Source organism: Homo sapiens, chromosome 8 (genome assembly GCF_000001405.40).
Source record: "Homo sapiens chromosome 8, GRCh38.p14 Primary Assembly".
Taxonomy (NCBI): Eukaryota; Metazoa; Chordata; class Mammalia; order Primates; family Hominidae; genus Homo; species Homo sapiens.
Window position 1 is genome coordinate 42,493,715 of NC_000008.11, and position 17,737 is coordinate 42,511,451.

General features: G+C 42.1%; 1 protein-coding gene across 14 annotated transcripts in view, besides 1 other annotated feature; it reads right to left on the bottom strand.

Annotated features, from left to right (window-relative positions):
• Positions 1-17,737, bottom strand: part of SLC20A2 (solute carrier family 20 member 2) — a 125,480-nt gene that overhangs the window by 77,240 nt on the left and 30,503 nt on the right. For 2 of the 14 annotated variants that reach the window (XM_017013749.3, NM_001257180.2), the window contains exon 1: positions 7,317-7,517. The exons of 11 other annotated variants lie outside the window; for them this stretch is intronic. The gene's annotated coding sequence lies outside the window, so the exon portion shown is untranslated. Of the gene's footprint in view, positions 1-7,316; positions 7,518-8,569; positions 8,790-17,737 lie in introns of those variants that run through there. One more of the 14 variants, XM_024447236.2, reaches the window with a different exon arrangement.
• Positions 8,424-9,623: an enhancer, noted in NCBI's record as "CDK7 strongly-dependent group 2 enhancer chr8:42359656-42360855 (GRCh37/hg19 assembly coordinates)". NCBI's record gives its function as "activates an origin of replication core promoter dependent on BRD2, BRD4, P300/CBP, MED14 and CDK7 cofactors, with strong dependence on CDK7, by STARR-seq in HCT116 cells {active_cell/tissue: HCT116}" and the evidence as "EXISTENCE:reporter gene assay evidence [ECO:0000049][PMID:35650434]".

Here is a 17,737-nt window from a genome sequence, read left to right on the forward strand (position 1 = left end):
TGGATACCTCTAATACTCCAGAATTAACAGAATTAACCTTTTTCAATGACCAGTACACATCAGTTTACGTGGGTGTCTCTCCAAAAGCCATGATCCCAAGTCTCTGCCTTAAAAATGAATCAGATTTTTCCAGTGTAAAAATAATATTGGCTGGGCATGGTGGCTTATCTCTGTAATCCCAGCACTTTGGGAGAGCAAGGCAGGACTGCTTTAGTTCAGGAGTTCAAGACCAGCCTGGGTAACATAGCGAGACCCTGTCTCTATAAAACATTTAAAAAATTAGCCAGGTGTCGTGGTGTGTGCCAGTAGTCCCAGCTACTTGGCAGGCTGAGTTGGGAGGATCGCTCAAGCTGGGGGAGTCAAGGTTGCTGTGAGCCCTGATGGCACCTCTCACTCCAGCCTGGATGACAGTGAGACCCTGTCTCAAAACTAATAATAATATGTGCTCATAACAAATTTGATAAATATAGAAAATGAGAAAGTAAAACAAGGAAAAATGCTACTGGCCCAGTACTGCAAAATAACCATAATTAACATATTGGTGTACTAGCTTTATCAGTTGGACTAGGCACTACTTATATAAGCCAACTGAGAGGCCACTGCCAAATTAAATAAAATATAAAGTCAAAATAAAAATTAATTAAAATAGTTACTTTTTAAAGAGAAAGTTTTCTATTATTACATAAGTAATCTATGCTTATTGAAGAAAAAAATTAACATACAGGTAACCAAAAAGAAGGGGTGAAAATCACATATAAGCTCACCTCCTAGAGATAGTTATTGCTCATAATAAATGCAGCATTCTTTTCTCAGGTACATACATAGGTGTGCCTTGCTTTTATAAAAATGGGGTCATAAATACATAATGTTTTGTAACCTGCTAGTTTTTACTTGATATACATCTAACGCCATCATTTCAAATGGCTGCGTAGTGTTCTATGCTGTGGAAATACAATAAATTATTTAATCAGTAACTTATTAGGTTGTTTCTGGGGATATTTTATTCAACTATTAGGTCCATAAATCTTGTATAGTCTAATAATAAGTAAAATTTTTTACCTTTTTCTTCAAGTTTAATTTTTTTTGACTGGACAGCTATAATGAGACAAAGTTTATTCCAAACCACTTAACCACTCTTTTTTGTTTTTTTGAGATGGGGTCTTGCTCTGTCACCCAGGCTGGAGTGCAACGGTGCGATCTCGGCTCCCTGCAACCTCTGCCTCCCGGGTTCAAGCAATTCTCCTGCCTCAGCCTCCCGAGTAGCTGGGAATACAGGCATGTGCCACCACACTTGGCTAATTTTTTTGTATTTTTTTTTTTTTAGTAGAGACGGGGTTTCACTGTGTTAGCCAGAATGGTCTCGATCTCCTGACCTCGTGATCCACCCACCCTGGCCTCCCAAAGTGCTGGGATTAAAGCCATGAGCCACTGCGCCCGGCCACGTCTCTTATTTTTAATGACACATTTGTGAACTAGCTACAGATTGATTTTAGAAACGTGATTTTTCCAAGGAAGAAATACCAAGAAAAGAATGACTATTTAGTAATTCCTCTTTGTACAGAAATGAAAATAGCTTTTTGGCTGCCATTATTAAGAACCAAATTAAACAGACACTTGGAATGTTCCCTACTGGCTGTATATTTATTGGAAGTTCATGGGTTTCACAGACTCTACTTATATTGAAAGGCTCATTCAGGGTTAAGATCAGCTCCCTGTGCCCTCTGGAGTGGGGAGACACGTCGATCTTATCTCTGTACAGACACCATGTTCATTGGGCCTCATATGTTCTGAAAACAGACACAGATGTAGAAAATAACAGTGCATGCAGCTTCATGTCTGAGAGGTCAGTTTTTTGAAACATAATGAGGTTGAAAGATTGAAAGACTGAATAGTAACATCAATATCTTATGACCAGGCAAACTACAGTTTGGCTCAAATGTCCTCACCAGTCTTTTCTCACCTCAAGCAATTTTTAGTACTCTGCAAACATGTAATTAACTATGCTATAAAAGCCAAGGATTCTACAGATCCCTCCCCCTTTTTTTTTTTTTTCCAGACAGAGTCTTGTTCTGTTGCCTAGGCTGGAGTGCAGTGGTGTGATCTTGGCTCACTGCAACCTCCACCTCCCAGGTTCAAGCAATTCTCCTGCCTCAGCCTCCCAAGTAGCTGGGATTACAGGCGTGCGCCACCACGCCCGGCTAATTTTTGTATTTTTGGTAGAGAGGGGGTTTCACCATGTTGGTCAGGCTGGTCTCGAACTCCTGACCCCAAGTGATCCACCCACCTTGGCCTCCCAAAGTGCTGGGAATACAGGCGTGAGCCACCACACCCGGCCAGATCCCATTTTCAAGTGCTGAAATATTAGGGCCACAATTTCCTGGCTAAGGTAGGGCGGGTCTTTTTCAGACATGGCAGTGCGTTACTTGTGTGACAGTTTTTATTTTTATCTTTATTATTATTTTTAAAAACCTAGCTCCTGCAGGAAGTATGACACTTTTTTAACAGCACTGGCAAAACATGTCCTCAGAGAGCCCTTTCTTCATTATGAGCACAAAAAGGTTTTATTGTCCTAAATGCTATACAAAGTATAACAAATAGACACTCTCAGCAGCCTGTGTTTTCAACCGGAGACACTTCTGTCAAGCGAAAGCACAAAGGAAAATATACAAAAGGGCACAGGCATAACTAAATTCAGATGCATTTCTATTACGTGCAAATAAAGGTGGGTGGAAGAGAGAGCAGAGAGATGAATAGGGGACTCCTAGGAGTAACTGTTTTGATTGGGAAAGGTGAGAATGGCCACCTTCCTGACTCTAGAGAACTCATTACAGAGGAGAAGGCAGAGCACTTACTTGTGGCCTTAGCCATTCCAATGGAATTAGAATTTATTTGTATTAAGTCCATCCTATGTGTGCCCCTGGGCTATTTGTTGTAGATACAAAAATGTTGTGATAAAATGTGTCCCTCTCCTCTATCTCTAGTGAGAGCTGACACACAGATAATACATTCCACTGTGCTTGGATTCGTTAGGGCCTTCTATGTTGCTTCCTGCTCCTAGGGTGTAGTGGGTAGGGTCCAACTTTCCTTGCAGCCCCCTCTCTTCTGAAATGGGCTGTGTGAAGACAGGGACGGACCAACCTGGCCACAGTCTGTGATGTAAAGTGCTCATGAGCCAACAATAAGCTCCCCACCCCCCATATGGGCTACACGCTACCTCTGCCCAGATCCCCTGCAGGTGGCTGTGAGGTCACATGGGGAGGAGAGTCTGGTAACACTGATAAAATACAGTAGATCCATATGCTAACACAATATTATTCTCACATTATCTCAGGTGAGCCTCATTTGAGAGGAACACTGTCTTAGCTCAGAAAAGTAATTGCAAAATTTTCCTGGTTAATTATTAATCTTCTCTAAGTGACAAAAGGAAATCCAGAGCAAAGTCAGGGCTGGAAGGGACTTTGAGAGGTCATTTATCTCCTGACTTTAGAGAGTACATTGAAAACACTGCAAACAAATATAATCCCATGTTTAGATGACTTCAGGAAAAAGGGTTACATTTTTTGGCATCCAGATTGCCCATTTTATAATACCCTCCATCTTTGCATCTCATCCAGCAGACCTCAAATGTCAACGTGCACCAGAATCACTTGGGAGATTTTTTAAACACAGGCTGCTGGCCCTACCCCATGTTTTCTGATTCAGCAGGGCCTGGGTGGGGCCTGAGAATCTGCATTTCTCACATGTTTCCAGGCGGTGCTGACGCTGAAGAAACAGGGTCCCCACTGTCGGCACCTCTGTTCCAGCCCAACCCTTGCTGGACCTGACCCTTTTATTCTAGATGGAAATAGATACCAGTGGGTCACCATTCTTTGCCACTGAGACACACATATACTTGAAGAACAATTCAAGAGTCTCCCGGTCATTTGTTTCCTCTTCCAGGCTAAATAATAGAAGTTCCCTACCCTCTTATCATAGGTATCATTTTCCAACCCTCAATTGGTTTTTTTTTTTTTTTTGAGGTTCTTTGTGGAGCCAAGTCTCTTTGTTGTGGAGCCATGAACTAGACCCAGAACCTTAGAGACTGGCTGAGGTTGGGCACGGGGGGAGGGACTCACAGACTCACAGAACCACGCAGGCCGCTCATGTTATTACTCCCCAGTACCCAAGCCTTCCTATCAGCCCTTCTTCTGATTCATGTGCTTCTAACTCCTTTACAAGCTGCAATAATGCTCAGTAGACCTTCATAATGCCTTTCCTCTGAGAAGCTGAAGGCATTTCCCTAACTAATATTACAGTTGACTCAATATCCTAAACCAGTGCAGGGTTAAGTAACTTGTTGAATTGCAAACCAGTTCAGGAAGGGAGAATCTGGAACTCCAGATTTCTATCTAAATATCATTTTATGGAGAAAGATGCTTTGATATTTATTGCACTTTATAACAAGTTTACCCCCTCCACATAATAATAATAGTTTTAGGTGCAAGTGAAACTGTGAAGCTTCTCCTCTTTGTAGGAGGATTGCAACAGAGGACTGAGAGTGGGGGGCAAGGCTTCTGGGGTCAGTCTTGTCACTTGTCCCCATCACTTCCCAGCTATGGAGGAGAAAGGGAAGGCACAGCCCAGGTGGCACAGCTGTCTGTCCTAATCGTCTTTGGCAAAAGCTCAGAGGAGCTGAATGCTGAAGTATCCTCAACCCACCCCACTCATCTTGTTTCCCTTTTCTTCATTTTCACATTTTTTTTTCTGCCAGTGTAGTTACTGAATGTCAGGGGGCCCAGTTTCTGTGTCCTGCCTTGTTGTAGCATGTGGGTTGGAACTATGCTTTCCTTGTGCACCGCATGTGCTGTGGGGTGCTTAATACATGCTAAATAATGACAGCAGTACCCCGTATGCCCGAGAAATCAGCCTTCCTCCTGAGGGCCATATCCCATTATGTTACACTTGTTTTTAAGACGGACGGAAGCTGAAGGCATCCCTCCTGCTCACTGCTCCTTCCACTTTAGATGAACAGCTGGAACTCACATAACACAGCCTCTTCCGACAAGATTTCCTTTAGAGAGAGAACATTCTAGGGATGTGATCACTGAGCATCCGGGCTCCAAGCCGAAAGGCAACCTGTTACATAGCGCAGTTCCCATTTAGCCATGCAGGCAAGAGACCCATTAAAACCTCATGTGAGGGAAGAGGTCCCAGAGAAAAGGTTCCTCTCTGCGTCCCTGAGAAACCCCTCAAAGCTTCTGAGCAGAAGGCTATCCCTCTAGGCAGAAAGTAACAGTGAAATAAATCTGCAACCGGCAGCGATTCTGTCAGAGCCTCTGGGTCTGTAACTATTTTAAGACGTGGAGGAGTAGGATGAGAGCACGGGCAGCTGGACAGAGTGGCTCCAACAGGACTGCAGGGGAGACGTGCGGTCACCTGCGGCGTGGGAACAGCAGGGCAAGGGCAGGCGGGCTCGGCTCCTGGACTCCTCCTGCGGCCACAAAGCTGCCCTGTTTCTCCGCACCTGGACCCCCAGTGTGTGACTCTGCATAGAGCTCATCATGATTTGTCGCCCAAGGTCATAACCAGTCACAGCCAGCATCATTTCACCAGGCACACGGGGTAGAAGCAGCGAAGAGAATCGCAGCACCGGCAAACACGAGGAATTCCGGCACTAACACTTATATAATGAAAACCTTCTCCGCTCTCACTCACCGCTGCCACTCTCTCACAGCACGTAAATCATTAAAACGAACACTCCTCAAGTGTTTATGCGCATTTTAGCAACTCATCATAAAGCACATGCTTCCTAGTAGTAGAAAAACCTACAGAAACGTCTGTGAAATTAAACAATGGATAAATTCGAATCAGCTTTTCTCTTTTGCAGGACTAAGAACTACAATAGGTCAAGTGAATACTGGTGTGAAAACTAATACCCAACTACAGTGTACCTTTAAAAATGCTCCACTGAGATTCTGATGGTGCCTTATTAACAATTAGAAGTAAGAAGTAATAGCAATAAGTCAGAATTTTTTGGATAAAAATATATATTATGAAGGATTACCGGAGCAAAACCCCTTTTACTGCTGAAGATGACATTAGAGGCTTCTGTTATCATTATAATTCATCTGGGCAGCAAATTTCTCTTCAGCTCAATAAAAACTAAGTATGAAGTAAGTTTCTTTCTAAAAATAGCCCAAGAACTCAGTACTACTTTCCTTTCTTACACTCTTTTCCTACTAAATGGAACACTGAAGTATTTCCTTTCATTGTTGACACTTTATGTCATTTGCATTTAAAATCAGACAATACATAATAACAAAGAAGTCTTTAACTAAATCTTTTCAAAATGGGAAAATGGCTTTCACAATACTAACTGTGGACCTGCCTCCTTCCTTGCTCTAGAGATGACAGGCATAGATAGCTGGTGAGCACCTATCCTATCGCCTAGGAGAACTGTTTTATTAATAACAATATTCCTAAAGCTGATACATTTACTTGCTAATTGATAAAGAAATTCCTGCCTGGTTCTCTGCTGTAAGCAAACTGTTTGGCTTGAGGTCAGTCCACATTGAAAACACACTTCTAAATAAGCAAGATGATTCAAATTTAATTTAAAATATTCAATATCAAAATCTTTTGTTTTCTTCAGTACAAATTTAAGTTGGTAATAATGTGTTAGATGAACTGCAGTTAAGGTTACAGAATCCCATGGCCTTTGGTTACTTTTGATAACTAACTCAGTCTAAAAGAGGATGCTTTAAATTATTCTCTAAAACCTTCTTCCTAAATTAATTTTTTAAAGTGCTTCTCTTTAGGCATATATGGGTTTATTTTTTAAGCACAAAATCCCCCTTAAAAGGATAAAAAACTGTCCATCTATACATTCAAGAAAATTACATTTGACACTCCATTATTTCTACAAAATAAACTTGTAGCACAGAGTATAACAGGAATTAACTTTCAACATTTTTTTCTCAAGAATTAGGTTACCATAGTAGAAAACAAAGCTCAATGACACAATACAATGTTTCTGTATTTACAGAAACCATATCCATTAATCAAATATTTTAACATAAAATAATAATCTACAGATTGCTTTTGCAAAAATAAGTAAGAATCGAAAACTTTTTCTTGGGCAAATTGAATAAGGCAGATTTATTGCAGTAGGAGACATTTAAAGAAAAACCTTTTGCCACCTCTCTTAGCTTTCTCTAACGTACCAACCTGAAAGCTTCCAGTTTTCCCAAGAGATAAACATTACTATGACGGTAACATTAGGAAGATTTAAGGAGAAAAGAACAAAGAGAAGTCTTAAAATTCCACCCAGTACTTACAAGTAGTTTCCAAGAAAACTGAGCCACAATTCTTCAGAAGACTGCTCTCCTGATCACAAACACAATCTGAAGTCTAAAATAGATATCCTACCACATTAGGCCGAGAAGTCACATTTCAGCTTGCTAACTTCTACTTTTACAACTCATAGAACTAACCCCGGCTAAAATTAACTGCAGCCAAGCAGCAGGCAGGAACACGCTGATTTGCATCATGTGTGCCGGGATTTATTCACTAGGACAACATCGGTGTCCTCTTAATGGGAAATGCGGCCAAGGGGCGTGCCCTGGTGAACAATACATAGCATCATGATTATGCTAATTACTGAATTCAGTCCAATAATACTAACTTCTTTTAAGTTGTTTTTGCAAGTACTGACAAAGAGAAGGAGTAAGCTTTTTCCCAACAGGCATTCACTTGATTTTTAAGCACATTCAAATCAGACCAAACTTTGGCAACAAGGTGGCAGTGCTGTGTGCTCTTCACAAGCAAAAGCAAAGCAAAAGGACATTCTGTCCGATTATTTAAACAGCGTGATTAGATGCAGCACTACGTGAAATTAAATAGACACAGAATATACATATCAGTAAGTCTATCCACCAGAATCCTGAAATAAAAGCTTTTTCTTTCTCTATAATGAACTGATTGCAGGGACTTGCTTTCTGGCTCTGCCTCCTCCTGCACCTCCCAAGGAGTCGCTATGAAGACACAGATTCAGTAATAAATCACAACTGAGAATAAACATCTCAAATATTTGCAAAGGCATTGTCCTTGGCAAGAAGCATTTTAAGGTGGATTTAACTCCTTGGCTAGAAAAATTGTCCTCTGTAGGTGACTGACCATCTACAAAGCATGTTGGAACTCAAGTTAACAGGTAAAGACCCCAAACATACAGCTGACACTTAAAAGAAAATCAGAACATGAAAAACTTTCTCTCGAAAATATAAGTACAACTTATAACAAAGACACAAAACCGCTTAGTATCTACTCAAGACGGTTTGGGACTAGTTTGCTTTAGACTAAGTTCTGATGACATATTTTGCTCTTATTGAACACTCTATGAAAGATATCAAAGCACTTTACAAACATCAATCAAATCTCCAAGCATCTTTGGGAGATGTCATTTTCCTCTTTTTTTTTTTTTCCCACAGACAGGTAAAAGACAGGGTAATTCCATTTCAACGACTTCAACCAACCCTGGATCACCCCATCTCCTCCTGAGACCTTTATAACATCTTCCGTATTAACCACTTACCTATAATCCTATAGACCTTTTCAGAGCCATTTGTTTTCCTCATTTTAAAATGTCATATGTTAGTTTGGACTTCAGGAGATTCACTCTACTTAACACCCAGATGCCAGGCCTGAACCCCAGGGGCTTAAAAAGCCCTCCTTGACTCTCTCTTGCAGACAGGTATCCTGCAACATGGATCCCTAAAACATGGCGATGCCCTCAGGAGGCACTGTCCATCTGCAGCCTGCTGCCCAAAGCACAAACCGGTTGATCTTCATTGGTGTGAGTTGGACATCACCAGCACAATCTCCCTCCTGTTGTTTACAAACACTGCTGGCTGCTGATCTGAGATTGCATCCCCTCGGCCTAACCTGAGGCTCTGTGCCAGCACCTGCCCCACCTCTGCAAGAGGGTGGCTGGTATGCATTCCCCTTCACTCCAACCCAGAGTCATGGGAGGCAGGCATTTCCTGCTCTGTGCTGAAAGGAGAGAAGTCAGCACTCATCAAAGATGGCTAGCTGCTAATGAACAGAATTATTCTCAATAATCCACTGCAAACTCACTCCAGAAGTCTTAATGCCAAAAAGGACCTTGTAAGGCTATTTTTGACACGATATTCTCATCCTATTATGTCATAGTTCAGGACAAAAGTCTCTAAGCCAAAATATTATTTCTGCCCTAAACCAGAAAGTAAGAAAAAGCAAATACACCAAGTGCATTTCTGCATCAGAGTTTGTATTGGAAAGGAGCAATCTGATGTATGATGGATCCTACATCCATTCATTGGAAGGCAGGGGCCCCTGAGCAATGCTCCGGTTCCTCACATGTCAGATATGCCTAGTATGACTCTGCTGTTTCAACAGCAGCCACACCTGTTCCACAGTGGAAGAACCAAAGCATTCCAAATAAAAGAGTCTCCTCCAATTTACATTAGTCATTCTGCTGCTTCCTTTTCATTAGTGAAACTACTTGAGTCAACAGTGCTTTTGTTCTAGGTATACTTATGACAGTAGATAAAAATCTGTATCAGAGTACCTTGAAAAGCAGAGTAAATTCTTCCCATTTGTTCTCATTAATTTTTGGTGGTAGAGGAGGGACAGGGAAGGCGGTGACCTATGGGATCTTTAGTTCAACGAATCCATGAAATTAAAGAAAATTACTATGTTTATGAATGTCCACTAATGAATGAACCCAGATACCAACCTTCTATGAGCAGTTACATGTATAATTTAAAATTTTCTAGTAGCTGCTTTTAGAAAAGTAACAATAAAGAGGTAAAATTAATTTAATAATATATTTTAACTCAATATATCCAAGATATGATCATTTTAATGTGTAATAATCATAAAAACTATTAATGAGATATCTTCATTCTTTTGTTTGTACTGCCCCAAGCCTGTGCAATCCAGTGCGTATTTTACAATTAGTACATTCCAATCTGGACAATCCACATTTCCAGTGCTCAGTACCCACATGTGCCTGGTGACTATCATAGTGGAAAGCCAGAGTGTACAAATATCTTCCTGACAACAGCTTTTCTACAACATGTACTAATATTTACATGTTTCTGGGCATGTGCACACTTATATACACTCAAGAAACATCAACTAAATACTGGGCATATAGGATGAAAAACGCCTAGTTTTTGTCCTCAAGGAGCTCAAAGTTTAGATACTTGGCATCCTTTGTTTTTTAGAGCTAGGGTCTCATTCTGTCACCCAGGCTGAAGTGCAGTGGCACAATCATGGCTCACTGCAGCCTTCACCTCCTGAGCTCAAGCAATCCACCCACCTCAGCCTCCTGAGTAGCTGGGACTACAGGCACGTGCCAGCACACCTGGCTAATTTTAAAATTTTTTTGTAGAGAGGAGGTCTCACCATGTTGCCCAGGCCAGCCTCGAACTCCTGGGCTCAAGTGATTCTTCCACCTCAGCCTCCCAAAGCACTGGGATCACAGGCATGAACTACTGCCCCTGGCTTCTTGGCATTCTTTACCTTTGAAATAATATGCAAAATATTCTGTGTTCTCTGTGTGTATTCTTCTGGGGAGATAACTTTCTTCATCACTTTATTAAAGGAGTCTGTGTCTCAAAAAGGTTAAGAGCCAGGAGACTAGACTAGTAGCAGATGCTGGGAGAAATGGAGAGCTAAGGAAAATGAAGGAACTGAGACAGATAGAAGGGGAAAGATCCGAGGAGAAAGAAAGACTAAAAGGAAGATAAATAAACAAAAAAGAGAGAAGAAGAATTTCATTGCTAGACATGAAATTTTAGTTATAAAATCATATAATAAAAATTGGTGGCCAGGCGTGGTGGCTCACGCCTGTAATCCCAGCACTGTGGGAGGCCGAGGTGGGTGGATCACGAGGTCAGGAGTTCAAGACCAGCCTGACCAACATGCTGAAACCCTGTCTCTACTAAAAATACAAAAAAAATTAGCCAGGCATGGTGGCGCACGCCTGTAGTCCCAGCTACTCAGGAGACTGAGGCAGGAGAATCCACTTGAACTTGGGAGGCAGAGGCTGCAGTGAGCCAAGATCATGCCACTGCCAAGATCACACCAGCCTGGGCAACAAAGCAAGACTCCGTCTCAAAAAAAAAAAAAAAAAAAAAAAAAAAAAAAAAAGGCATGTTCCAGTTACTATGCCAGGTACTGGGGACAGATACAGAGATGAAAGACAAGGTCTCTATGTCCAGGGAGTTCACATTTTAGTGACAGGAACAGACTCACCCAGGCAGATACAATACTTGGGTAAGTATGAAGACGCAGTTTATGTGCAATGTGCTATGGCTACAGCGGGGAGAGGAAGGAGGGTGCCACACAAGAGGGACGCAATACCCCCCCAACCTTTTTTTTTTTTTAATTGAGAAGATGTCTCACTCTGTCGCCCAGCCTGGAGTGCAGTGACACAATCTTGGTTCACTGCAACCTCCACCTCCCAGGCTCAAGCGATCCTCCCACCTTAGCCTCCCAAGTAGCTGGGACTATAGGTGTGCACCACCACACCTGGCTAATTTTTATATTTTTTGTAGAGATGGAGTTTTGCTATGTTGCCCTGGCTGGTCTCAAGCTCATAATAGGATAGTAAATAAATAGGCTGGGCTCAAGCAATCCACCCAACTCGGCCTCCCAAAGTGCTGGGATTACAGGCGTGAGCCACCATGCCTGACCCCTCATTTCTTAAATGAAGGTTATTTTCTGATCAAATTTTAAATCTATGTTCTGGAATAACTCAAGATTCTGCATTTTAGTTTGGAACCTTAGAAAAGCATGGATAGGTCATGGAGAAATCAGGTATTCTAAAATATTTTAAAATGACATCTGGAAATAGCAGTGAAGTTTCTATTCTGAGCTATTTATCATCAAATTGAACCTGGTTATTTGATCCAACTATTTAAGGTTGAGGCAGGAGGATCACTTGAGGTCAGGAGTTTGAGACCAGCCTGGCTAATGTAGCGAAACCCCGTCTCTACAAAAAACTTAGCCGGGCACGGTCACACATACCTGTAGTCCCAGCTACTTGGGAGGCTGAGGCATGAGAATCAGTTGAACCTGGGAGGCGGGGGTTGCAGTGAGCTGAGATCACGCCACCACTCCAGCCTGGATGACAGAGTGAGACTCTATCTCAAAGAAAAAAAAAAGCCATCAAAAAATGAACATTGAAGAAAAAACTCTTCAACTCGTTAAGAATTCTCTGTATTTTATTTATTTATTTTGAGACAAAGTCTCTGTCACAGTAGTGCAATCTCGGCTCACTGCAACGTCCGCCTCCTGTGTTCAAGGATTCTCCTGCCTCAGCCTCCTGAGCAGCTGGGATTATAGGTGTGTGCCACCACGACCAGCTGATTTTTGTATTTTTAGTAGAGACGGGGTTTCGCCATGTTGGCCAGGCTGGTCTCAAACTCCTGACCTCAGGCATCCATCCACCTTGGCCTCCCGAAGTACTGGGATAATAGGTGTGAACCACTGTGCCTGGCCCACGTTAGGAATTCTTTGGATTGTAGCTGTGGACTCAGAAAGACCTGGGTTCAAAGTGTACCCCACGACCTACTAGCTGTCTGACCTCGAGCAATTGAGCTCACCTCTGTGACTTGGCTTCCTCGCCTGTAAAATGGGGATAATGTTGCTGACATCAAGGGTTGGTGTTGGAAGGAAGTGAGATGTATCTAGCACAGGCACACAAAGAGTCTCATAAACGGCCGGGGCCATTATGCTCACAGCAGGTCTAGCAGCAGTATGGTACTTGCTGAAGGGCAATTTGGGATATTTACTGAGTGCGGATTAAAGGCTCCCTGTTTTTATAGCATGAAGCTTCTTCAAAAAATAAAATGTTGAAAGGAATTTCAAATGGTCGTTAAGTATTTCAGGAAAACCAGGGTTTGTAAACTCCTTTGGAAAACTCTGTAGCTGCGCCAGCCTGTTTAATTTTCTCCGTGATATGGTCTCATGTCCCCAGCCAGAGGTTAGCACAGGATTCAGGGTCACTGACTGAAGAACACAGGCGAATCATGTGTCTGGGCAGATGGCTGCTGTAAAGTCCCCCTATTCCTTCCTTACCCTAGGGAGTCCCTTCCTGCACTGACTCTGGGCTTGGCCAGTAGGACAACAGCAAACATAATGCTGGGCCCTGGAAAGTGCTGGTGCATGGGGGCTCACCCTCTCTTGCAACTTCGAAATGCCCGCCCTGGCTTGCCTACTACAAATGAGAAGGCCACATGGAGTGGGGATGCACCATCACTGCTGAGTCCCTGCCACTGGTCAGCCCGCTGAGCACCTGATGGGTGGGTCAGGCCATCGTAAACCACACAGCCAGCCAGCTGCCAGCTGACTGCAAAGTCCAGCCAGGCTTGCTCAAGTCAGAACCACTCCGGTGCCCTACAGAACTGTGAGGTACAGAAAGAAATGTTTGTTTTTTTGAGCCACTAGTATCAGGTGGTTTGTTATGCAGCAAAAGCTGACTAACACACATTCCTCCAAAAAGGCTGCATGCTCAGGAGGGCTACACCAGTGTGATCCACAGCGATGCAGTCTTCACACTTCAGAAACGGACTCAGTTCACATACATACAAACAGAGAGCTCTAACTCTACACAGAAGAAACTGGTATCCTCTTCAGCTAAAAAAAAAAAAAAGACGCAAACTCTTCAAGACAGTTCTTTAAAAAACCTTGATAAATAGCTAATTCAGCATAATTTTATGACAGTTTTTATCAGGATTGTGAAAGTAAAGGCAGCATTATGACTGCTGTTGTTTGAATACTCATTTTAACATAGTTGATTTTTTAAATTATATTGGAATTCTCTTGGGGCTTTCATACTGCTCTACATTCAGAACAGCCACCTATTTAACAAACATCTGTTAAAGCACCATCAGGAAACTCCCAAGCATTTGCAAGATTTGTATAAGTGGCAGGATGCCCATGACCACAGCAGAAAGTGGTGTCAATGACAGTTCTGCCTTTAAGAGGCTCATAATGTGATGAGTCATGACACTGTCCCACGGTCCATAAACTTATCATATAAGGGAGTAATTAGTAAGCATTCCAAAAGTTAAAAGTTCATTCCAATAGGAACATAAGCAAAGAAGAGGCTTCCAGTTGTGTTAATCAAGAAAGGCTGGCCCGGCGCGGTGGCTCATGCCTGTAATCCCAGCACTTTGGGAGGCTGAGGCGGGCGGATCACCTGAGGTCAGGAGTTCGAGACCAGCCTGGCCAATATGGTGAAACCCCATCTCGACTAAAAATACAAAAAAAATTAGCTAGGCGTGGTGGTACATGCCTGTAGTCCCAGCTACTCAGGAGACTGAGGCAGGAGAATCTGCTTGAACCCAGGAGGTAGAGGCTGCAGTGAGCCAAGATCGTGCCACTGCACTCCACCCTGGGCAACAGAGCAAGACTCTGTCTCAAAAAAAGAAAGAAAGAAAGGCATCTTCAGCCAGGTGCAGTGGCTCACACCTGTAATATAATCCCAGCACTTTGGGAGGCTGAGGTGGGAAGATCGCCTGAGGCCAGGAGTCCCAGACCAGCCTCAGCACCATATTGAGACCCTATCTCCATTTTCAAAAAAGGGATCTTGGAGGGAGTGGTATTTGTTTTTGTTTGTTTGTTTGTTTTGAGACGGAGTCTCGGAGTCTCGCTCTGTTTGTTTTGAGACGGAGTCTCGCTCTGTAACCCCAGGCTGGAGTGCAGTGGCATGATCTCAGCTCACTGCAGCCTCCACTTCCCAGGTTCAAGTGATTGTCCTGCCTCAGCCTCCCGAGTAGCTGGGATTACAGGCACCTGCCACCACGCCTGGCTAATTTTTGTATTTTTAGTAGAGATGGGGTTTCACCATGTTAGCCAGGCTGGTCTTGAACTCCTGACCTCAGGTGATCCGTCCGCCTCGGCCTCCCAAAGTGCTGGGATTACAGGCGTGAGCCACCACACCCGGCCTGGGAGTGGCATTTGAATGGAGCCTTCTCCTAAGCTCTCAACAGTAGCAGGAGTAGAAAGAACACTATACAGAAGCAACACACAAGCAAAGATGGAGAAAAAGGAAAGCTATAATGTTTGTCTAGGGGACAGCTTGATTGAGATTCAAGCTCCATCAAGTAATAGCTGCTTTGATGACTAAATTACTTAATTTTTCCAAATCTAGGCTATAAAGTATCCAATGAAAGTGGCATCTGCAGCAAGGCTACCTGGTTCAAATGCCAGCTTCATCACTTTGTAGTTGTCTTGGGCAATTACTTTCTCACTGTGCCTTCATCACTTTTAAAATGGGAATAATAATTATACATGCCTCACGGGGTTATTATGAAGACTAAATGAGTTTTTCATTTGTAAAGTATGTAGAATAGTGCCTGGTATAAATGTTTTGTTAAATAAACATATGTTTATGCATACACAGCAAACAGTTATATAGATATAGATAGGCATGTATGAATGTAGATACAGAGATACAGCTTTATCACCAAGAACAGTACCTGGTATGTAGAAAATGCTAAACACACTTAAATGTTTCCCTTCCTCCTCCATTGTCTGGAGTCCACAGAGATCTAGAGCACAAGGTCAGACACGTTCCATGCACCCCAACATCAGCCTCCACTCAGTTAAAAGAACACAGGCTGTCCTTCCTCTACTTTCACACTGGAAGCTTTCTCCTTTCTCTTGGGGGCAATAATTCTGCACTTGCTGATACAAGATGCTAGGCTTAGCCAGGCACAGTGTCATGCCTATAATCCCAGCACTTTGGGAGGCCAAGGACATAGCATTGCTTGAACCCAGGAATTTGAAACCAGTCTGGGCAACATAGTGAGATTTCGTCTCTAAAAATAAAAAAAAAATTAAAAATTAAAAATAAAAAAATTAGCGGGTGCAGTGGTACCCGCCTGTAGTCCAAGGTACTTGGGAAGCTGAGGTGGTAGGATATCTTGGGTCCAGGAGTTTGAGGCTGCAGTGAGTTATGATTGTGCCAATGCATTCCAGCCCGGGCAACAGAGCGAGAACTTGTCTCAACAAAACAAAACAAAACAAAACAAAAAGATGCTAGGCTTGAAACCACTAGAGACAGATACAACATGGCCACTAGCTTCAAAACAAAAGAGCACTAATACCACCTTATGTGATATATGCACCTCAAATGGAAAAATAAGCACAGGCTTATTAAGTGCAACCTTCACTTCTATAATTTATTACTATGCAAGCTAATCTAAAATGAGAAACTCTGAATGCAATAAGATTTTGGGGAAAAAGTCAAAGATTAGATTTAAAGCCACAGTAATTCGAAAGTTAGGTTAACAAAAACCTTACTAATCCCAGACTAATTTGGCTTGAACTAGATATATATCTAAACTGAAAATACTTTTAAATGCAGTTTTATTACTTGAATCAACAAATATTAAACTGAGTTTCCTCTGTTTTTAAAAGGAAAGTACTAAGGATAGTTACTGGATTATACTAAAAACAAAAACAAAAAAACCCATTAAAAGTGCTTGAAAATATTCGACTATGTTGAAATAAGTAACATTTTCCTGCAATCTTACAGTATTTATTTGTTTAGAAACCACTTTTTCATAGGTATCACCAAGGTAAACTCCACCCATCACAAACAAAGGCTTATTGTCAATTCTGTATTGGATAGAATGTGAAATAATGAGTTGTGCTAAACTGCTAATCATAAACATCCACTTCTCAGTTTACTCCCTCAGATAATAGGAAAACTATTAAGTATCAAGCAACGAGCTGCTAATTGCCCAAATCTTTTGATACACAGTATAAAATACTAATTTTTGTGATTTCAATCTATATTGTTTCACAATCATTCAAGTCTGTTTCAAAAGCACTTAAGGGTCTTTAGGTAAGGATTACCCTACTTTTAACTTGAAATTTAAGGCTTTCTGAGGAAAAGAGGGCTGTAGGAGTCTTTTAACAGAGCCATATTCCTGGGTTCAGTCAAACTGAACCAATTGCTAGCTTTGAGACAGTAGGCAAGTTATTTAACAGAGTTCTCTCTGCCCATCTGTAAAATGAGGATAAGGATCCATCTACCTTCTAGGAATGTTGCAAAAATGACTCAATGCACATAAAGCACTTACAACAGAGCTTGGCATGGATTTTTGAAAAAAAAATTTTATACATGGATTTTTTAAAAAAAAGAAAATATACATATAATATATATATTTTATATGTAAGCTATATAAAGTAATGATGAAGGAGAATTCCTAGTTAAACCACCTGGCCATGGTAGATAGAAAATCTGTTCTGGGGCTCTGGGGCTTTAGGTCCCCTTGCTACCTATTTCAGGTAGACAGGGAACTTGCAGGGTATGCCTGAAAGGACCCTCAAAATGACAGTGGAGAGCCGCCAGCTTCACTGTGAATAATTTCAAGTCCATTCTCAAGACTCCTGCCTTTTCACTATCAGGTCTCTGAGCATCTATAAGAGGCACTTGAAGGGCAGATGCCCACGTGTGTGGTGGAAGACAATACTTGATACCAATTTTCCAAGAGACGTGGAAATCAAGAATATGTTTTCTAATTTGTAATAGTTTTGCTGTAAATGGGTATGATCTGTTTCCAAACAGATAAACTAAGAAGTGGTCACTTTTGGCCAGGCGCAGTGGCTCACACCTATGATCCCAGCACTTTGGGAGGCCAAGGCAGGCGGATCACGAGGTCAGAAGTTCAACACCAGCCTGGCCAACACAGTGAAA